The 20,871-nt window shown below is 55.3% G+C and overlaps 1 protein-coding gene across 3 annotated transcripts, besides 8 other annotated features; it reads left to right on the top strand.

The window, feature by feature from the left end:
* Positions 6,474 to 7,434: an enhancer, noted in NCBI's record as "H3K4me1 hESC enhancer chr17:77701584-77702544 (GRCh37/hg19 assembly coordinates)". NCBI's record gives its function as "activates a minimal SCP1, AML or CMV promoter by ChIP-STARR-seq in primed H9 embryonic stem cells {active_cell/tissue: H9 hESC(primed)}" and the evidence as "EXISTENCE:reporter gene assay evidence [ECO:0000049][PMID:30033119]".
* Positions 6,474 to 8,394: a biological region, named in NCBI's record as "H3K4me1 hESC enhancers GRCh37_chr17:77701584-77702544 and GRCh37_chr17:77702545-77703504".
* Positions 7,233 to 7,352: an enhancer, noted in NCBI's record as "active region_12918". NCBI's record gives its function as "activates an Ori minimal core promoter by ATAC-STARR-seq in GM12878 lymphoblastoid cells {active_cell/tissue: GM12878}" and the evidence as "EXISTENCE:reporter gene assay evidence [ECO:0000049][PMID:35858748]".
* Positions 7,259 to 7,553: an enhancer, noted in NCBI's record as "tiled region #9091; HepG2 Activating DNase unmatched - State 4:PromP, and K562 Activating DNase unmatched - State 5:Enh". NCBI's record gives its function as "activates a minimal TATA promoter and a strong SV40 promoter by Sharpr-MPRA in HepG2 and K562 cells {active_cell/tissue: HepG2 | K562}" and the evidence as "EXISTENCE:reporter gene assay evidence [ECO:0000049][PMID:27701403]".
* Positions 7,435 to 8,394: an enhancer, noted in NCBI's record as "H3K4me1 hESC enhancer chr17:77702545-77703504 (GRCh37/hg19 assembly coordinates)". NCBI's record gives its function as "activates a minimal SCP1, AML or CMV promoter by ChIP-STARR-seq in primed H9 embryonic stem cells {active_cell/tissue: H9 hESC(primed)}" and the evidence as "EXISTENCE:reporter gene assay evidence [ECO:0000049][PMID:30033119]".
* On the top strand, positions 9,595 to 20,871 carry ENPP7 (ectonucleotide pyrophosphatase/phosphodiesterase 7). 3 transcript variants are annotated; one of them, NM_178543.5, is made up of 6 exons: positions 9,595 to 10,044; positions 12,160 to 12,305; positions 13,695 to 14,321; positions 15,693 to 15,912; positions 16,568 to 16,714; positions 20,446 to 20,871. In NM_178543.5, the coding sequence occupies exons 1-5, from the start codon at positions 9,792 to 9,794 to the stop codon at positions 16,696 to 16,698; spliced, it is 1,377 nt and encodes a 458-aa protein (NP_848638.3). In that variant the 5' UTR covers positions 9,595 to 9,791; the 3' UTR covers positions 16,699 to 16,714; positions 20,446 to 20,871. The 3 variants fall into 3 exon arrangements, 2 of the variants coding, with proteins under 2 accessions (NP_848638.3, XP_011523039.2); XR_001752505.2 differs by lacking the exon at positions 15,693 to 15,912; XM_011524737.2 differs by lacking the exon at positions 15,693 to 15,912 and having other exon boundaries at positions 16,549 to 16,714.
* Positions 11,514 to 11,563: an enhancer, noted in NCBI's record as "active region_12919". NCBI's record gives its function as "activates an Ori minimal core promoter by ATAC-STARR-seq in GM12878 lymphoblastoid cells {active_cell/tissue: GM12878}" and the evidence as "EXISTENCE:reporter gene assay evidence [ECO:0000049][PMID:35858748]".
* Positions 11,614 to 11,733: an enhancer, noted in NCBI's record as "active region_12920". NCBI's record gives its function as "activates an Ori minimal core promoter by ATAC-STARR-seq in GM12878 lymphoblastoid cells {active_cell/tissue: GM12878}" and the evidence as "EXISTENCE:reporter gene assay evidence [ECO:0000049][PMID:35858748]".
* Positions 20,615 to 20,784: a silencer, noted in NCBI's record as "silent region_9081". NCBI's record gives its function as "represses an Ori minimal core promoter by ATAC-STARR-seq in GM12878 lymphoblastoid cells {active_cell/tissue: GM12878}" and the evidence as "EXISTENCE:reporter gene assay evidence [ECO:0000049][PMID:35858748]".

Genomic DNA, 20,871 nt, shown 5'->3' on the forward strand with positions numbered 1-20,871 from the left:
GGAGGGAGGCTGCCTTTCTCAGCTCCTCCCTGCTCGGCCTCACTGGACGACCGTGGCCCTTTGGGAAGGAATCACCATCCTTGGTCCTTGTCTCTCTCCTAACATCATAGCCATGAAAGATCACAGCCCTCCTGGGGCCCAGCCGGTCCCAGAGTAGAGCTGGTGAGCCTGGGCCTGTCTCCTGTGGCTCCTGGTGGCCCCCGCTGTCCCCCACACACTTGTCCCAGGGATAGGAGGATGGAGAGCCCACCCCAGCCCCCACACCAGGGACTCACCTGGAATCCTCCCAGACGGCAAGTGTGGTCACCACTGCAATTGGCATCTGCCTGCTGGGGAGGACTCATTGTCATGTCCTCACGGGGACGTTCCACTCCAGCCAAATTGCATAACCAGGCCATTCCTCCTTCAGGGTCCCCAAAAGCCAGTAATGGTCCCCACAAAAGGGCACTGGACTGGAGGCAGGAGAGACCCATTGAGACCCAATATTGTACCATTAGACATGGTGGAAAATTAGGGGAGGGGACTCGATGCCTCCGCTACTCCAACACTGGCGACGACCCACAGGTGTAAGTGCCCAGCTTCCAAGCCCACCCCCCTCACCAGGGCATCGAGGGCTCCCTGGAAGCACCAGTCTGGGGCTGCACCCTGGCCAGAGACGGAAGAGAGTGATTCCCATTACTGTATCACTCCAACTGCTGCCTGGAGACTAAGGAGAAGCAAGGAGACCGGTCAGAAGGCAGTTGCAATGGTCCTGACCATGCTAACTTCACCCACGTTCTCTTTCATTTATGCACTGAAGAATCATTTATTAAACACCTACTGTGTGCCAGGCATCAGACCAGGAGCTCGGGATACAGTGCTGCTCACAGCCTTGTAGGAGAGACACATAAACAATTGCAATAGAATTCCTTGTATCAGGTTATTAATGAGAACAGGAAGTTAGCGGCAAAGCTGACCTTGTGGAGGACAATGCCTGCCTTATGGCCCTCGGCCACCAGCTGAGACACCAGCAGGCCTGGGCAGGCCAGCCCCTGGCCCAGAGGCTGGGTCCCTAGGGCCCGAGCCCCCTACATGGCTCATCTGCATGGGGCAATCTCTACCCGTGCAAGCGTCAAATCCACCCGGTCCCAAGGACAAGGAGGCCTCTGGGATCAAGTCCTGCTGGGCACCCAGAGCCCCCTAAGCAAGAAAAGCAGTGAATAAACACTTTCCTATGTGTCCATAAGGAGGAGCCCTCTCCCCTACAGACACTGGTTTGCCCATAACCACTGCACCCACAGTGGCCATCAGCCCTACCTCTCTAAGCTCACATCCATCTGCCTTAGGTGAGGAGTCCTCAGCTTCAAGGACACTGGAATGACGACTTTACGAATGCTTTGCCCCCCACCCAGGTAACAAGGAGCCCACACACCTCCCAGATCTTGATCTCTAATAACATCTCCAATAAAACAAGCCAGGGCTCCTTGAGAAATGCTGGATTCTAGGGCAGAGGAAATATATAAGATAAGCCTGGAGCATCTTATAGTGCTCAAAACACATACATCCACACATGCACACATGTACACACACTTGCACACATGCACACACGTGCACACACCCACTTGCACACAGAAACATACACACGCGCATTCACACACATATATGCATACGCGCATGCATGCATGCACGCACATGCACAAACATACATGCATACACACACACACTTGCACACAGACACGCGCACTCGTACACACACACATTTGCACACACTGCAGGGAAACGTGAAACAGATTAGGAGCCATCTGAAAGACTGCCCAGCAGCCAAAAGTGGAACAATTGGAGCTGCAAAATAGAGAAATACAGGATTACCACTCAAAGTATAAAATAGTTATCAGTCCATACTGACATAAACGAGTCACTGAATGAATAAATAAATGGGATGGGGGGCAAACCCCCACACAGAATTCCAAGTAGTCTATGCAGCCACTCCATTGTCCAGAAGCGTGACCCCTCACCCCGTGAGCGTGAGTGGCATGCATGGCCTTCCTTCCAAAGAACAGGGTATGAAGGGGGTGGAGGGCAGGAAAGACAGCAACCTCCAGGGAGACACCCGTGACTTTCCTCGGCTGCGTGACCCAGGCCACGTCACCAGTGATAAGCCCTGTTGATAGCGTGTGCCTTGATGTGACCTGGTGGGAACGCCTCCTGTTTGGTTGCTTTTTGTTTTTTGTTTTTTGTTTTTTTTGAGATGGAATTTCACTCGCTGCCCAGGCTGGAGTGCAATGGCGTGATCTCGGGTCACTGCAATCTCCACCTCCTGGGTTCAAGCGATTCTCCTGCCTCAGACTCCCAAATAGCTGCATGCCACCATGCCCGGCTAATTTTTGTATTTTTAGTAGAGACGGGGTTTCACCATGTTGGCCAGGCTGTTCTCGAACTCCTGACCTCAGGTGATCCACCCTCCACAGCCTCCCAAAGTGCTGGAATTACAGGCGCGAGTCACTGCGCCCGGCCAGGCAGGAACAGCTCTTTATCTCTGCAAACCTCCTCCCCAAAAACCATAACCCCAGCCTGGCGATAAGGAAAACATCAGATAAATCCTAATTGAGGGACATTCTACAAAACACCTGACCAGCCCTCCTCAAAACTGTCAATGTCATCAAAAACAAGGAACAGCTGAGAAATTGTCACAGCCAAGAGGAGTCTGAGGAGACCCAAGGACCGAATACCATGCATTCGTTGTCCAAGAGGTTGAGGCTGCAGCGAGCAGAGATTGTGCCACCGCACTCCAGGCTGGACAACAGAGCAAGACCCTGTTTCAAATAATAATAACTTATCAGTTGGGCATGGTGGCTCATGCCTGTAATCCCAGCACTTTAGGAGGCTGAGACGGGTGGATCACCTGAGGTCAGGAATTCAAGACCACCCTGGGCAACATGGCGAAACCCCATCTCTACTAAAAATAAAAACAAATTAGCCGGGCGTGGTGGCGCACACCTGTAATCCCAGCTACTTGGGAGGCTGAGGCAGGAGAATCACTTGAACCCTGGAGGCAGACGTTGCAGTGAGTGGATATTGCACCATTGCACTCAAGCCTGGGCAACGAGTGAAATTCTGTCTCGAAAATATAAATAATAATAATAATAACTTATCAATGCTGGCTCCTTAATTGTGTAAAGTACCACCCTAATAGTCAACATTAATAACAGGGGAAACTGGGTGCAAGGAACGTGGGAACTCTATATTGTCTTCGCAATTTTTCTGCAAACCTAAAACTGTCGTAAAATAAAAAGTTCTGTCAAAACAGAAAGTATGTTAGATATTTGCATGCATTTGTCCTCTTAATTTATTTACTCATGCAACAAAGATGCATTAAGCACCTATGCTGTGCTGGACACTCTCCCAGGCTCTGGTGATACCATGATGAGCTAATATGGCAGGCCCCTGCTTCAGAGAGCCTGACCTCACCGTCTACCTGAAGGCTTGCATGAAGAGTATGGGGAAATTTCAGGTGACAGATATAAAGGACAAATGTTTACCCAAAAAATATAATCTAGGCCTGGCACAGTGGCTCACGCCTAGAATCCCAGCACTTTGGAAGACGGAGGAGGGTGGATCATCTGAGGTCAGGAGTTAGAGACCAGCCTAGCCAACATGGTGAAACCCCGCCTCTACTAAAAATCCAAAAATTAGCCGGGCGTGGCGGCACAAGCCTACAGTCCCAGCTACTTGGGAGGCTGAGGCAGGAGAATCGCTTGAAACTGGGAGGCGGAGGTTACAGTGAACTGCGATCCAGCCTGGGGCCTGGGCAACAAGAGGGAAACTCTGTCTAAAAAAAAAATATATATATATATATTCCAAAAGTATAAATTCAGAAGAATGTGCATTGTGGCCAGACTCCACATGCTCAGCATGAAGTGGATGGGGGAAATTTCAGCTGACAGATATAAAGGACAAATGTTTATCAAAAAAAATATATTCCAAAAGTATAGATTCAAAAGAATATGCATTGTAGCCAGGCTCACACCTGTATTCCCAGCACTTTGGGAGGCCAAGGTGGGAGGATCACTTGAGCCCAGGAGTTCAAGACCAGCCTGGACAATATAGAGAGACCCCGTCTCTGTTTTTCAATAAATAAATAAGAAAGAAAAAAAAGGAAAAAATATGCATTGCAACATACATAAGGAACCAATTAAACCATAAGAGTTAACGCTGGGCTGCACACAGTGGCTCATGTTTGTAATCCCAGCACTTTGGGAGGCCGAGGTGGGAGGATCACTTGAGCCCAGGAGTTCAAGACCGGCCTGGGCAACATAAGGAGACCCTGTCTCTACTGAAAATTTAAAAATTGGCCGGGTGCGGTGGCTCACACCTGCAATCCCAGCACTTTGCAAGGCCAAAACGGGAGGATCAAGAGGTCAGGAGATCGAGACCATCCTGGCTAACACGGTGAAACCCCGTCTCTACTGAAAACACACACAAAAAAATTAGCTGGGCATGGTGGCAGGCGCCTGTAGTCCCAGCTACTCTGGAGGCTGAGGCAGGAGAATGGTGTGAACCCGGGAGGCTGAGCTTGCAGTGAGCCGAGATCGCACCACTGCACTCCAGCCTGAGCGACAGAGCAAGACTCCGTCTCAAAAAAAAAAAAAAGAAAAAAAGAAATTAACCAGGTGTGGTGGTGTGCGCCTGTAGTCCCAGCTATGCGGGAGGCTGAAGTAGGAGAATCACTTCAGCCCGGGAGATAGAGGCTACAGCAAGCCGTGATCATGCCACTCCACTCCAGCCTAGGCGACAGAGCGAGACCCTGTCTCACACACACACACACACACAAAATTCAGTGCTGAAGAACCCACTTAATCAGTGGTCGAGGATAATAAAAGTCCTCACATGGGGAGTTAGAGACAAGAAATCATGACATGGAAAATCTCCCAGTTTCTCTGGCTTGATACTTTAAGATATCTTTACACGCCTATGACACTATCGAAAAGGAATAAAAAGATAAAACCCAATAAAGGTAGCACGGGGTGGGGCAGAGGGGATATTTACATTAACTCGTGGCTGCTGGTGCTATCAACTGCTTCAACCTTTCCTGTGTTAAAGAAAAAACATTTGGCCGGGAGTCATGGCTCGCACCTGTAATCCCAACACTGTGGGAGGCTGAAGTGGGAGGATCGCTTGAGTCCAGGAGTTCAAGACCAGCCTGAGCAACATAGCAAGACCCCATCTCTATTAAAAATAATAATCATATGGCCGGGTGCGGTGGCTCATGCCTGTAATCCTAGCACTTTGGAAGGCCGAGGTGGGTGGATCATGAGGTCAGGAGTTCAAGACCAGCCTGGTCAAGATGGTGAAACCCTGTCTCTACTAAAAATACAAGAGTTAGCCAGGCGTGGTGTCAGTGAGCTGAGATCATGCCACTGCACTCCAGCCTGGGCAAAAGAGTGAGACTCCGTCTCAAAAAATAATAACAATAATAATTTTTAAAATAAAGAAAAAAAGTATTCATGACTCTTGTTAAAGACAGGTAGGAAGACCTTATTCCAGGGGGGCTACCACAATGGGGTTTAGCTGTAGGAGAGCCAGATTGGGCTCAGTCTCACTCTACCAAGGACGAGTAGGACATGCAGTCCAGGAGCAAGTGTGCCGGGTGGGTGGAAAATGACTAAGAGGAGACATTGAGGAGACGGGATGCTTACTCGGCCAACTCAGCAGAAATCTTCCTGAAAGCAGGCCAGGGTAACAAGATATCGAGAGTGGAGGATGAGGAATCTGATCAAATACTGAGGGTGATCACATAGGATTTCCACTAAACTGACTCAGCAGGACTCTTGCTAAACCCGAACTAAAGAAGCCGAGGACAGAGCCCAAGGTCAGCGCCTTGAAGGCTTAGTGGAGTAGAGTTAGGTCGAGAAGAGGGTCTGTCACCTGATAGCCATCTGATCATAACAGCCAAGTAGCTTTTCCATCCTTTGTCCAATAACCTTTCTCTAAGCACTGTACCCCAAGGAAAGAAGGCAAAGGTTAAAAAAGAAAGAAAGAAAAGGAAAAAGTCAGTGGTGTCAAGATACTCACAGCTGCATTATTTTTGTTTGTTTGTTTTGTTCTGTTTTTTGAGACAGAGTCTCGCTCTGTTGCCCAGGCTAGAGTGCAGTAGTGTGATCTTGCCTCACTGCAATCTCCTCCTCCCAGGTTCGAGCAATTCCCATGCCTCAGCCTCCCAAGTAGCTGGGATTACAGGTGCGCACCACCATGCCCAGCTAATTTTTGTATTTTTAGTAGAGATGTGTTTTCAGCACGTTGGCCAGGCTGGACTACACCATTTTTTAAATAAAATGTTGTCAATAGACCCAAAGCCTGACAATAGAATCCCAAGTGAACAAAGGCTGGTAAATTGCTGCCTTTTGAAGCAGCTGAAGCTGAACACTGGGGCTCGGAAGCCAGAACGCTTGGGTTCCAGCTCAGCTCCTCCAGTCACCAAGTGATTTTAACCGCTCTCTGCCTCAGTTTCCAACCTGTAAACTGAGGATTGTACTAAGTCCTACCTCAAGAACTACCTCCAAGCTTCAGTGAGATCGTGGCTATTGCCCAGTGCCCACGGACTGAAGGAAATGTCCTGTAGCCACGAGCTACAATCAACCACCGCACACCCTTTCCATCCAAGTGCTCTATGAGATCGCAGAGAAAATGGAAACATACGTGGGGTGACCCAAGGAGCTCCCCAGCAAAGCGGGATTGAGGTACAGAGCCAAAAACCAAAGGAAGAGTTACCCAAGCATGGCTGGGATGTCCTGAGAGGAGCAGGAGCAGACCTTTCATGCCATCTCCAGACCAGGCCCAGGCAGGTAAGAGGGTGAACAGGACCAGGAATTCGCACAACCCCAGGGGCCGACAGGAGAACCTGCAGAACCACGGACCCCAGACCTGCGAGCCACCAAGATCTGCGCCGGCCTCAAGCACACCCCAAATGCACTCCAGCCGAGGCCTGGCCAGGCCCCTGGACCACTGCCTCGGCTCCTCACTCAGGCCCTGCCTCCCTGGCGGCCCTCTCGAGCCCCACCCCACAGCCAGCTCCTGCTTAAACCTAGCAATGCCCCCCAGGCCTGGAATTCTATTATCAGCTTGAACTAGGTCCCGCTGAGAGTGACAGGAAACCCAAATAATGGAAATTGCAACGAGGCAGAGTGTGTTGAATTCTCCCCGGGAGGATGCAGCCTGGAGCTGAGCTACACAGGACGCTGGGGACCAGGCCCCTTCTGTGCACCCCGGCCATCCCCGGGGAGCCCCTCATCAGGCGGCTTAGGGTGGCTTGCCAGCCAGAGGCATCAGATGGAGGAAAAAATCAAAAAAGAAGAGAAGCAAAGCTAGCTTCCGGCAAGAGGCTGGGACTGCTACAAGACATTCTCCTTTTGCCCCATTGGTCAAAATGTGGTCACGTGGCCCTGCTTTGCTGCAAGGAATGCTGGGAAATGTAGTCTTTCTTCTAGCAGCCATCTTATCATGGAAAGAGGGGAGAACAGATATTAGGGGACAACTAACCAGCTCTGCCACAGCGGAAAATCCAGATTCCGCCACGGCCTACAGGCTCCTCCTGGTCGACCCTCTCGGGAGCCCCGGTGCCTCCCTTCCTCCATGCCTGGTCCCTCTGCCTGAAGCCTTCCCGCCCTCTCTCCTGGCTCCATGCATCCTGTGGGCCTCCCACAACGCTGGTGCCAGCAAAGCCCGATCTCCTCTCCCGAGGCCGCCTGCATTCCCCCTGTGCGTGCATCGTAACCTGTGTCCCTGACTCACAGGGATCCTTACCCTCCCCAAGGTCTGTGCTCCCCAGGGAGGAGCCAAACCTCTGGGTGCCCTGAGCCCCAGCCCTGCAGAGCAGGCACCCCACGCGGTGGTTGCAGGCACCGGGCAGTCGCTCCATCCTGGTTTTCAGCTTTTGGTGCACAGAAGCATGAAGAAGAGGGGTCACTGGCACGGAGTCCTCCTTGAGAGTGTGTTCCAGTCGGCCAGGCAGGGGCAGCCGGGGATCCGTACCAGTGGTCCCTGCCCACCTGGGTTAGGAAAGGCTGGCTGGCCTGGGGAGGCTGTGGACGGCGTCTGCGGTGTCATCTGAGTGCCACGGCCATCGCTTCGAGACGGCGTCTGCTTGCTGCAGCCAGCCAAAGGTCTTAAGGAAGGCCGGGGCCACTGTCGGCAGGTGTGTGGCTCCAGATTGAAATTGTGACAATACCTCCAACCATGCCCTTCCGTCTTCCCACCGCGCAATCCAGTGCACCACCTCCCACCATGCAATCCAGCGCACCACCTCCCAGCAAAACCTCCAGGATCCGCCTCAAACCCAGCCCCATCCCACAGCCACCACCCTGGTCCGGGCCACCAATAGCTCTTGCTCAGACACAGGCAGTCACCTCTCCAGGGAGCACCCAGTGTCCATTCTGCCCTCGTTCTGGTCTATCCTTCACCCACAAATGGAGAGTATATTTTAGCATTAGATCAGTTCATGTCACTCTCTTGCTTAAAACCCCCGCCTGGCTTCCACTGCCTGGCATGAGAATCACCGCCACCTGCCCTACGGGACTGGCCCTGCCACCCCTGCCACCTGCCCCATGCCCGCTCCCCTAGCTCATGGTCCCCCAGAGTCACTGGCCTCCACCATCCTCTCAGCGAAACCCCACCAGCCACCACTGCGTGCCGCCCACCCACCCCGCCAGCCTCTCCATCACGTCTTCCTGCCTTCCCTTCTTTTGGGAAACTCTTTTTTTCTTGTTTGTTCATTTTATCTTCTGTGTCCCCAACTCGAATGGAGGCCACGAGGAACATTGTCTGTCTCATTCACTTCTGTGTCCCCAGAACCTAGAACCATGCCTGGCACACAGAACGTGCTTAATAGGAACTGAGACAGAGACATACAGGGAAGGAAAGAGGGAGAGAGACAGAGAAAGAGAGAGAAAATAAGAGAAGGGGAAGGAGAGATGGGGGAGAGGGAGGGAGAACCGCACACTGAATCCAGGGGTTCCTCTCCCACCCTTCATGTGCCTATGGTAACAAGGGAGTCCCCCTCTTCTGACCCCTTGTTGTCATCAAGCAAGAACGTCCGAGCCCCAGGCACCCTCTGAAATTCCCAAGAAGGAAGCATCCCAAGAAGGAAGCATCCCAAGAAGGAAGGCCCACAGGACGCTGGTCTGGAGCCATCCGGTTCCCGGTCTGCTCACCACGCTCAAGGAGCCCCTTAACAGGACCAGGAGGAGAACAGGCACCCAGCCTGGGGTTCCCCCCGGACAAGGCCATGCTGTGACCCAGGCTTGGTCCTGGCCCTGACCATGGGAAGCCCACCCCACAGGCCCTCACCCAGGCAGGCCTGAGGCCCATGCACCACTAAAGGCCTGGAGAGGGGGTCCCACCCCAGCCTCACCTGGGTCCCCTGGGGTCAGGGTGAGCTGGGACAGAGGGACCACCTGTTGCTATGGGAGAGGGAGAGGGCACGACTTTCCCAGTGGAATGGGCTCCTGCTGTGCTCTGAGCCCTGGGTCACTGTCCCCACTCTGGGGAGGGAGGGGAGGAGCCTGGAGCACCAAGGGCGCGGCTGGCAATAAAGGCAGATGCTCAAGTTGATGCCACCCCACGCACGTGAGGCTGGGACCAGGGGTGGCACTGACACGGCTGGGGAGCCCACTCCCGAGGTTCGACCCGGGGATGTGCACAGCCACATTCCAAAGGCGCACGGGATGAGATCAGCCCGGGTGACCCTGGGACTTTGTCCTCCTCGGCAGGAGCCAGCCCTGTGCACCCTGTGTGCCTGTCCATCTGGAAGGCCCAGCATGAGAGGCCCGGCCGTCCTCCTCACTGTGGCTCTGGCCACGCTCCTGGCTCCCGGGGCCGGAGCACCGGTACAAAGTCAGGGCTCCCAGAACAAGCTGCTCCTGGTGTCCTTCGACGGCTTCCGCTGGAACTACGACCAGGACGTGGACACCCCCAACCTGGACGCCATGGCCCGAGACGGGGTGAAGGCACGCTACATGACCCCCGCCTTTGTCACCATGACCAGCCCCTGCCACTTCACCCTGGTCACCGGTGAGTACTGCCCTGTGACGGGGCCTGGGGGTGGGAGGGCCTGAGAAACCAGATGGCACAGAGCCGTGTCGTGCAGGATAAAGGGGAGAGGTCCTTGCTCCAGGCACAGGACAGAGCCAAGGGGACCATTAGGAATCCTCACCGTTGGTAGCAACAGATCCGGGACAAAGAAAAATGACCAGGGGGGTCCTTAAACCCGTGGCCACAGCCAGGGCAGCAACCCCAGAAGGCTTCAGGAGGAGGGGAGTGTGGCGGGCTCCCCGCTGGCTCCCATGGCTCCCCTCCCCTGCCCGCCCCTCCAGCTGGCTGTGTCAGCCTCTCCCTCTCCCTTCCATCCTTTCCATTTTCCACCCAACACCTCCCTGACAGATCTGCCCAGGCTGTAGACAATACAGACATAGGTTTTTAAAAAGCCAAATATGGGGCCAGGCTCAGTGGCCCACGCCTGTAATCCCAGCACTTTGAGAGGCTGAGGCGGGCGGATCACTGGAGGTCAGGAGTTCGAGACCTGCCTGGCCAACATGGCGAAACCCCATCTCTACTAAAAATACAAACATTAGCCAGGCATGATGGTGCATGCTTGTAATCCCAGCTACTTGGGAGGCTGAGACAGGAGAATTGCATGAACCCAGGAGGTGGAAGTTGCAGTGAGCTGAGATCGCACCACTGCACTCCAGCCTGGGTGACAAAGCAAGACTGCATATAATATATATATACATATATATATACATATATATATGTATATATATATATATATACACACACATATATATATATATGAGGCCAAGGCAGGAGGATTGCTGGAGTCCAGGAGGTAGAGGCTGCAGTGAGCTGCAATCACACCACTGCACTCCAGCCTGGGTGACAGAGCAAGACCCTGTGTCAAAAAAACAAACAATAATAAAATAATAAAAAGCCAAGTACCACAAAAAAGGTGTTAGAGAATTGAAAAGCAATTGGCCCTCCCTAGGGGCTCAGCCACCTCCCAAACCTGCGTCATCCTCCAAAGACCCTGCGTGGGTGTCCCAGGGCGCCTGCAACAAAGATCTGCAGACTGGCTTAAACCCACAGAAACGGATCCGCATGCTTCTGGAGGCCAGAAGGCCAAACCCAGGGCATTGCAGGGCTGCACCCACCCGGAAGGTTCCAGCAGAGGCTCCCTCCTCACCTCTTCTGGCTCCTGGGGCCTCGGCAATCCTTGGCATTCCTGGGCTGGCGGCAGCATCACTCCGACCTCTCCCCACGTCTCCCCAGGGCCTTTCCCCTGTGTGTGTGTGTCTGTATTCAAACTTTCCTCTTCTCACTAGTACACCAGTCGCTGAATTTCGGGTCCACACTTCTCTGGTATACATCCCCTTACCCTAGCTAATCACATCTGCAAAGACCCTATTTCTAAATAAGGCCACGTTCTAAGGTTCCAAGTGAGCATGAATGTGGTGGGACACCATCCACCCCAACACAGGCAGCTCATCCCCACACCAGCCTTTCTGCCCCTTCTAACCGCAAACGGAGGTGTGCGGGTCTCCCGTCTGCGCAGCGCCTCTTTTGCTCTCTGTATCGCAGATGAGGACGGGAGGGACCTTCTCCACATCATCTCTCCTTTTGCACCTTTTGGACTTAGTACCATGTGCACGTGTTTCCTGTACAAAAATAAATTCAAAAAATCTCCTGGAGCTCCACGTAGTTCACTGAAATTCCTGCCTGGGATCTCGTCTGATGGCTGGGCCATCATTTATTTAATGAGTTCCTTCCTGACGGCCGTGGAGGTCACCCGCAATCTTTTGCTAAAGCAAACAAGGCTGCCACCAGGATCCCTGCACACGCATTCGTGCCTGTGTGCCCGTCCAGCTGTGGGACAAACTGAAAGTGGAAGTGCGATTGCTAAAACAGGTCAAAGAACACGTGTCTATTTGTCTCAGACATGACCTCGAACCTTGGCTCCCACGGGGCAGTGCAGGAGGAAGTCTGCTCCCCCCAGCCCTGCCCCAGGCCCACTCCCCACCCAGCACACAGGGAAACCTGGGCTGTTTTGACTTCGCCTCTTCCAGCCCTGGGTCCGGCCTTCGCTGTGACCCCGGTCCATCCCGCCGCCCTCTGCACCTCTTCCTCCCTCAGGCAAATATATCGAGAACCACGGGGTGGTTCACAACATGTACTACAACACCACCAGCAAGGTGAAGCTGCCCTACCACGCCACGCTGGGCATCCAGAGGTGGTGGGACAACGGCAGCGTGCCCATCTGGATCACAGCCCAGAGGCAGGTAATGTCACCCCCGCCCATACTGACATCGCAGAGCACGGGGGCACCTAGGCCCAGGTGAGGCTTGGAACCATGTGAGATCCACGGCAGGTCCCTTCCCCACTCCAGGGTCTCGGGGCTCCTGGCCTACCCTGGCACAGAAGGGTGTGAAGTAGGGCCCCAAAAGGGGCAGGTGGTGGGTGCTGGTGAGGACTAACCAGTGAGCTACGTCCGGCTCGGCCCATGGACACAGCCCTGCCCGGTCCTCTCTGGGGGGCCCTGGGAGCAAGAGGGATTGCTCTGTCCCCCTAGTCGGAGGGAGAACTGCACCCTTGGGCCCTGCAGCATTGGGGGTGAGGGTCGGACAGGGAAGATCACTGTGACTCAACAAGAAAGCATTTAACAATTAGACGACTTTCTCCCTTTCCACATCCCTGTCACAGCTGAACAGCTAAATTCTAAAGGGCCAAAGACAAAATGAGAGGTGGGTTACAGTATTGACCCAGGAACCCCCCCACCCACCCCCAGTTTGCAATGCTCTGGGGGCTTCCTGGCCCAGAGGCGAGGCTTCCAGTAAACAAAGTCAGTGGAGGTTTCCAAGATGACGCTGGAATAAATGTCAGAGCCCATGCCCACCCCAGAGCCAAGTTATCCACTCAAGCCGGGGTTCCCTCACTCCAGAAGGATCATAGACACACTCAGGGCTCCTTCCACCGGCTGGTGAGCAGGAAGCCAAGGTAGAGACCCTGGCATCACAAGGCTCTTGATCCAATGAAAGAATATCCTGGGGGAGTGGACGGGCAGGTGGGATGGACAGTGATGAGGCAGACACTGCGTATCTGGGAACATTTTTTTTTTTTTTTTGAGACGGAGTCTCGCTCTGTCGCCCAGGCTGGAGTGCAGTGGCGCCATCTCCGCTCACTGCAAGCTCTGCCTCCCGGGTTTACACTATTCTCCTGCCTCAGCCTCCCAAGTAACTGGGACTACAGGCGCCCGCCACCACGCCTGGCTAATTTTTTTGTATTTTCAGTAGAGACAGGGTTTCACCGTGCTAGCCAGGATGGTCTCCATCTCCTGACCTCGGGATCCACCCGCCTTGGCCTCCCAAAGTGCTGGGATTACAGGCATGACCCACTGCGCCCGGCCTCTGGGAACATCTTTATACTGATGTCTTGTTTAGTGCTCAAGTCCAGTGGGCACCTGTTGTTTCCTCTATAAAATCAGGTTTTACCCCCATAGAACATGAGATCAGGGATGTTTTAGAAATTAAAGGCCCCGCAGCTGCAGCTAGGAGCAGGGATGGGTGGGTGGAACAGAGAAGTAGGCACGTGGGGGACAAATGTGTTCACAGGCATGAGACAAGGGGCAGCCCACTGAGGAGTCCTGTCTTTCACGCTGCCTTGTCTGGCAGGGCCTGAGGGCTGGCTCCTTCTTCTACCCGGGCGGGAACGTCACCTACCAAGGGGTGGCTGTGACGCGGAGCCGGAAAGAAGGCATCGCACACAACTACAAAAATGAGACGGAGTGGAGAGCGAACATCGACACAGTGATGGCGTGGTTCACAGAGGAGGACCTGGATCTGGTCACACTCTACTTCGGGGAGCCGGACTCCACGGGCCACAGGTACGGCCCCGAGTCCCCGGAGAGGAGGGAGATGGTGCGGCAGGTGGACCGGACCGTGGGCTACCTCCGGGAGAGCATCGCGCGCAACCACCTCACAGACCGCCTCAACCTGATCATCACATCCGACCACGGCATGACGACCGTGGACAAACGGGCTGGCGACCTGGTTGAATTCCACAAGTTCCCCAACTTCACCTTCCGGGACATCGAGTTTGAGCTCCTGGACTACGGACCAAACGGGATGCTGCTCCCTAAAGAAGGGAGGCTGGAGAAGGTGTACGATGCCCTCAAGGACGCCCACCCCAAGCTCCACGTCTACAAGAAGGAGGCGTTCCCCGAGGCCTTCCACTACGCCAACAACCCCAGGGTCACACCCCTGCTGATGTACAGCGACCTTGGCTACGTCATCCATGGGGTGAGTCGCCTGCTGGAGGCACCACCTCCAGGGGCTCCCTCCCCAGGCTCTGGGTCTTCTTTTTTTTTTTTTGAGACCAGGGTCTTGCTCTGTTGCCCAGGCTGGAGTGCAATGGCAGGATCTCAGCTCACTGCAGCCTTAAACTCCCAGACTCAAGCGATCCTTCCACCTCAGCCTCCTGAGTAGCTGAGACCACAGGTGCACACCACCATGCCTGGCTAATTTTTGTGTGTGTTTTGTTTTGTTTTGTTTCATTTGAGACAGAGTTTCACTCTTGTCATCCAGGCTGGAGGGTAATGGTGCCATCTTGGCTCGCTGCATCCTCCACCTCCTGGGTTCAAGCGATTCTCCTGCCTCAGCCCTCTGAGGCATTACAGGCGCCTGCCACCATGCCTGACTAATTTTTTGTATTTTTAGTGGAGACAGAGTTTCACCATGTTGGCCAGGCTGGTCTCGAACTTCTGGCCTCAGGCGATCCACCCGCCTCAGCCTCCCAAAGTTATGGGATTCAGGTGTGAGCCACTGTGCCCAGCTGATGTTTGTATTTTTTTGTAGAGACAGGGTTTTGCATGTTGGCCAGGCTGGTCTCAAACTCCTGGGCTGAAGCGATCCTCCTGCCTGGGCCTCCCAAAGTGCTGGAATTACAGGGGTGAGCCACTGCGTCTGGCCTCTCCTTCCATCTCCATAGAGGCACTTCCTGTTTCTAGCTGGTCCCCAGTTTGAGGAGTGTCAGCACCGAAGGGACACTTCCTTCACTATGCGGTAGGGTGTGTGCACATCTGTGTGTGCCCTCCACATTCAGGCACCAGGCAGTGGGAGTGTGTGTGCACGTCTGTATCCATCATGACCAGGCACTGTGTGATAGGCGTGTGTGTGTGTGTGTGTGTGTGTGTGTGTGTGTGTGTGCGTCCTACGTGTCCAGGGTAAAGTGTAGAAGTCCAGCCCCAAGGGTGACATGGAAGAGGTAGGAAAGAGTCAGGAGCCCAACCTCCCCTCAGCAGACAGCACAGGGATGCTGAGCCGGAAGCGAAGCACAGATTAGGGAGCAGACATCCCCGGAAAGGAAGTGACCGATGGGAGGCAGCGTTCAACACCGCACAGGCGGCAGGCCCCGAAGCCTGGAGCTGCCCGCTCCACTCCCATTTACTCAGGGTCTGGTCTCCGTTCATTTAACTGGACCTTCCCTGAACTTCACTCTTTAGGGTGACTGATCTTTGGAGGCTCAGAATTCGGGGAAACTGAGTCTTGGAACCCCTCCAGCCCTCACGTTGGTGCTCCTTCCTAAGGGGGTGTTCATAGGGTGGATAGGGTAGGCGGAGAGGGTCTGTTGCTCCCAGCAAGGACCCAGGACCCTTGCCCGCTCCCCGGCAGAGAATTAACGTCCAGTTCAACAATGGGGAGCACGGCTTTGACAACAAGGACATGGACATGAAGACCATCTTCCGCGCTGTGGGCCCTAGCTTCAGGGCGGGCCTGGAGGTGGAGCCCTTTGAGAGCGTCCACGTGTACGAGCTCATGTGCCGGCTGCTGGGCATCGTGCCCGAGGCCAACGATGGGCACCTAGCTACTCTGCTGCCCATGCTGCACACAGGTGAGGGCAGGGTGCCCCAAATCCCCGCCTGCTCTGGTGTGTACACGTGTGCACACGAGGGTGCCTGCATGCCTGTGACCAGGACACCCTTGAGCCCCAAGTGGGGCCACCTCCCCTGGCTTTGGAGAACACCAGAATCTCTCACATTCCCACAACACGTGACCTCTCACGAGCACCTCATGCATCTCGGGCGGCACGAGAGGGCGAGGGGGAGGAGTGGGCAGTCTTGCTCAAGAAGGGGCTGGAGGGAGCGAGGGTGGCCCAGGCGGGCCTGCTGTGCAGAGCCCACCTCCTGGCTGCTGGATCCCCACTCCCCACTCCCCACCACAGCAACCTGAGGGCCTCCTTTCTGGAATCTTCCTGTATCAGCCTCCCACACACACACCTCCCCACTGGAACCTGCCCCATCTTGGGGACAAAGGCCACCTGGAAACTGACAAGGTGGCGACCCCGGCGGGGGCCTGGCTGGAGAGGGGTGGGCTCTACTGAGCAGGGCTATGAAGGGCCGTGGTGGACAAAGGCCATGGGACCAAGGGGGCGGTGAAAGAGGAAGGAGGGGCTCGTGGGGACCAACAGAGGACCCCGAGTTTACTGTGGAGAGGCTGGGGTGAGGAGCCATCCCTCTCTCCCTCACAGGTCCTCTGGCTTTCCTTAGAATCTGCTCTTCCGCCTGATGGAAGGCCTACTCTCCTGCCCAAGGGAAGATCTGCTCTCCCGCCCAGCAGCAGGCCCCTCCTCGTGATGGGACTGCTGGGGACCGTGATTCTTCTGTCTGAGGTCGCATAACGCCCCATGGCTCAAGGTCAGAGACCCAGAAGGCAGAGGCGGGAGGGTGGCCCCACGCTCCCTGACCCTCCACCCTGATGTCCCAGCTACAGTCCTAGGCAACCAGAACAGAGCTGCCAGGCCCCGCCAAGCAGGTGACTCCCACTGACCTGGCTGCCCCAGAGAGGCCATCACCCCTGAGATCCCGAGGCTGACCCTTCCAGCCTCTCTGCTCTGGGCTTGGAGGAGGTCTTTCCAGAGCAGACCACCCGGACCAGTGGCCAGAATTCCCACCCTCCCCCAAAAGCCAGAACTCCCTCAGCCTCTGGCCAGAGCTGCTGCCTCCCCTCCTTCCTGCCATCTCTGTGCTCCACTGGGATAGCTCGGAAACCGTCACCTGCGGTGCATTTGGGAGGAGAGCTCTGGGGCTGTGTTCCTGGAACTCTCCAGGAGCCTCCTAGGACACGCATGAGGTGTGTTTGGTAGGAGAGCACCAGGGCTATATTCCTGGAACTCTCTGGAAGCCCACCTCTGAGGACACGCGTGGGGTGCATTTAGGAGGAGAGCTCTGGGGCTGCGTTCCTGGAACTCTCTGGAAGCCCACCTCCAAGGACACGCGTGGGGTGCATTTGGGAGGAGAGCTCCGGGGCTGCGTTCCTGGAACTCTCTGGAAGCCCACCTCCAAGGACACGCATGGGGTGCGTTTGGGAGGAGAGCTCCGGGGCTGTGTTCCTGGAACTCCCCGGGAGCCTCCGAGGACAGTGCTCCCTTGTCTGTCTGTGCAGCCACAGCCTCCTAGGCCAAGCAGAAGAAAGTCATTCATTCATCCCGAAAATATGTAACGGGAGCCAGCTCCATGCCACGCTCTGGTCTGGGCTCAGGATATGCAGCGAACAAGACAGTCCAGGACCTGTCATTTAAAGGTGCAAGAAAGCAGAGAACACAAAAGCAAATGAATCCACGCACAGAGTGCTCAGATGCTTGTGATGGCAAAGAAGAGACGGCCACAGGCAGGGACGAGGCAGGCGCGACCTTGTCATTTGCCCGGCCTGGAATGGCCTCTCTGAGAAGGTGGATTTAGGGAGAAAACCAGAATGACAGACACACCAGAAGAAGCCAGACACACCAGGCAGGGGAAAGAGCCAGGGACAGGCCCGCGGTGGGACAGGTTCGGCGTGTTTGGGATGAGACAGAAGGCCAGTGTGCCTGCAGGTTGGCACAGAGCGAGGCTCTAACAGGAGCTGACCACAGCCCCAAGGCAGGAGGTTGTGGGATGCACAGCGGGGAGCCCCAAGCTGAGGTTACACAGGGTCTGAGGTTGATGATTAAATGAGTGGCTCCCACTGCTGGGCCGGGGACAGAAACGGGAGCAGGAAGTGGCCAGTTTGGAGGTGGCTGCAGGACCCAGCCGGACATTCCAGTGGCGGGGTGGAGAAGCTGCAATGTGCACAGATTCCAAATACCTTTAAGAGGCACGACATTCGAGGTTTGTGGACAGATTATGTGGGAGGGTGAAGAAAATGCAAAAATGAAAGATGGGTCCAATGCTTGGGTCCTGAGCCACTTGCTGACATGCTAAACTGTTGGGGACAGGAGTCGGGGGGGCCGAGACTTGTTTCGGCCGTGATCAGCCTCAATGCCGGCGACGCGGCCACGTGCAGCTGTTCCTGGGCACAGGTTGTGCAGATGAGTCCACAGCCAGGGATGCAGTTTAGTCTGGCAATTTAAATTTGAGACTTGTCAACACAAGCTATGGGACTCAATGAAAGCCCCCAGCCAGAAGGAGTGGACTGAGAAGAGATGGTGACCACACCACTCACTGAGAAGGCGGGGCTGGTGAGACAGGAAAAGCCAAGAGCTTGTCATGGGTCAAGAGGGGAATGAGGCCAGGTGCGGTGGCTTCCGCCTGGAACCCCAGTACTTCCAGAGGCCGACGCAGGAGGATCGCTTGAGCCCAGGAGTTCAAGACCAGCCTTGGCAATATAGTTAGACCCCGTCTCTGTAGGAAATTTTTTTTTAATTAGCTGGGCATGGTGGTGCGTGCCTGTAATCCCAGCTACTGGCAGGGAGACTGAGGTGGGAGGATCGCTGGAGCCCGGGAGGTGGAGGCTGCAGTGAGCCTTGTTCCTGCCACTGCACTCCACCATGGGCAAGAGTGAGACCTTGTCTCTACAAAATAAATCAATGAAAGAGAAAGGAGCGGGTTTAGGGTTTAGAGAAGTAGGAATGTGGAGATGTGTGTGGTGGGGAGGACCATTCATGCCAAATGTCACATCCGGAAGGGGACCAGAGGACCCTTCAGCCCGAACCCCTCAGGCAGACGAGGATGCTGGAACCCAGAGGCGTTAGCTGACTGGTCCAAGGGCACCAAAGAGTGGCTGGTGGTGTGTAAATGCCAGTTTTAAGGTCCTGGTCCCGAGTACTTTCAGCCACAACGCCTGCCTCTCTGTGCTCAGGGGCTTGGGTCCTGAAGCAAGTCTTCCAGCACTAGGCAGGGAAGTGATAAGGTTTCCATGGCGCTAGAGTCCACAACCATTTGTTCTCCACATTAACCAAGAGAGGGACTCAGAAAAAGTCATTATTCAGACTCACACACAAGGAAATTGAAGCACAGAAAATCAAAGATCATGTGACTCTGCATATTCTCACACGGCTTTTCCCCAGAGGAGCAGCCACGGTGGCGTCCCAGCAAACCTGCTCTCCAGATCCCCCTCAAAAAGCCCTGCTGTTGGCCCTTACCCATTTCTGCGGCGTGAATACTCCCACCATGGCCCATTTCAAGCTACCAACGTGAGGTCACCGAACACAAAGTAGGGAAGAAGCCCGCAGAATCATCTTTCACAAGCAGCATCTGCTGGGCTGAGCAGGTTGCTAAGAGCTGGGGGGTCCGAAGTTTTCATCACAGCCTGGTAAAGTCCATTTGGAACTAGGCTGTCTTCTGTGGCTAGCTTCTTTTCTTTTCTTTTCTTTTCTTTTTTACACAGATTCTCACTGTGTTGCCCAGGCTGGAGTGCAGTGGTGCAATCACAGCTCACTGCAGCCTCGACCTCCTGGGCTCAAGCAATCCTCCCATCTCAGCCTCCTGAGTAGCTGAGACTACAGGTGTGCACCACCATGCCCAACTAATTTTTTAATTTTTAATTTAAAAAAAGAAAAGCAAGCTATGTTGCCCAGGCTGGTCTCAAACTCCTGGCCTCAAGCGATCCTCCAGCCTTGGCCTCCCAAAAAGCTGGGATTACAGGCATGAGCCACTGGGCCCAGTCCCTTGGGCCCATTTCTTTCCTCTGAAGCTAGTGTTGAAAGTACATGTGGCCAGTTAAAGGCACATTGTGGAACGGACGCAGTCCTTGCCCTGACTTTACAGAGTCCTCCTTCCCCAGCCAGAAAAGCGGGCAGAAGACTAGGGGAAGCTCTTCTGCCTCCTGGGATCCGCACACTGCCAGCCAGGCCTGGGACAGTGCCCACCCCTCCCCTCCCAGCCCTGGGAGAAGGGTCTGAAGCCTGACATCAGCACGCCACCCCCATGTCCACACCTGCCCCGCACCTGTGCCCTCCCAGGAATCCCTACACAGGCCCTTCTCAGCGCAGCCTGGTAGGGCCGCCCCCTTCCACTGCCTGCCGCCCCCCCTCCCCCAGCCCACCATCCTGTTTCCCACGACCCCTCCCTCCCAGTCCAGCCGCACCGCTGCTTCACCTGTCCCACCAGACCTGCCCTCAGCCTGCCCCATCCTCTCCTCCCAGACCAACGCGTGCTGCTTGCTCTTCCAGGAAGCCGCCGGGAGCTGCCCGCAGGCCCTGGGCCGGCTGTCTCGCTGCGATGCTCTGCTGGTCGCGGACGGACCCTGCCTCCCCAGCTTATCCCAGGCCAGAGGCTGCATGCCACTGTCCCCGGCAGCGCCAACCCCTGCTTGGCTGTTATGGTGCTGGTAATAAGCCTCGCAGCCCAGGTCCAGAGCCCCCGGCGAGCCGGTCCCATAACCGGCCCCCTGCCCCTGCCCCTGCTCCTGCTCCTCCCCTTCGGGCCCCCTCCTCCTGCAAAACCCGCTCCCGAAGCGGCGCTGCCGTCTGCAGCCACGCGGGGGCGCGCGGGAGCTCTGCGGGCGCTGGAACCTGCAGACCCGGCCTCGGTCAGCTGGGAGGGGCCCGCCCCGGCACAAAGCACCCATGGGAATAAAGGCCAAGCCGCGACAGTCA

Source organism: Homo sapiens, chromosome 17 (assembly GCF_000001405.40).
Source record: "Homo sapiens chromosome 17, GRCh38.p14 Primary Assembly".
NCBI classification, from domain to species: Eukaryota; Metazoa; Chordata; class Mammalia; order Primates; family Hominidae; genus Homo; species Homo sapiens.

Excerpts from the sequence above, each read along its gene's own strand:
- ENPP7 (NM_178543.5), top strand. The coding sequence starts at position 9,792 with ATGAGAGGCCCGGCCGTCCTCCTCACTGTGGCTCTGGCCACGCTCCTG. Across the intron at positions 12,306-13,694 it reads GGATCACAGCCCAGAGGCAG|GGCCTGAGGGCTGGCTCCTT; the intron begins GTAATGTCACCC and ends CTTGTCTGGCAG. Across the intron at positions 14,322-15,692 it reads TTGGCTACGTCATCCATGGG|AGAATTAACGTCCAGTTCAA; the intron begins GTGAGTCGCCTG and ends GCTCCCCGGCAG.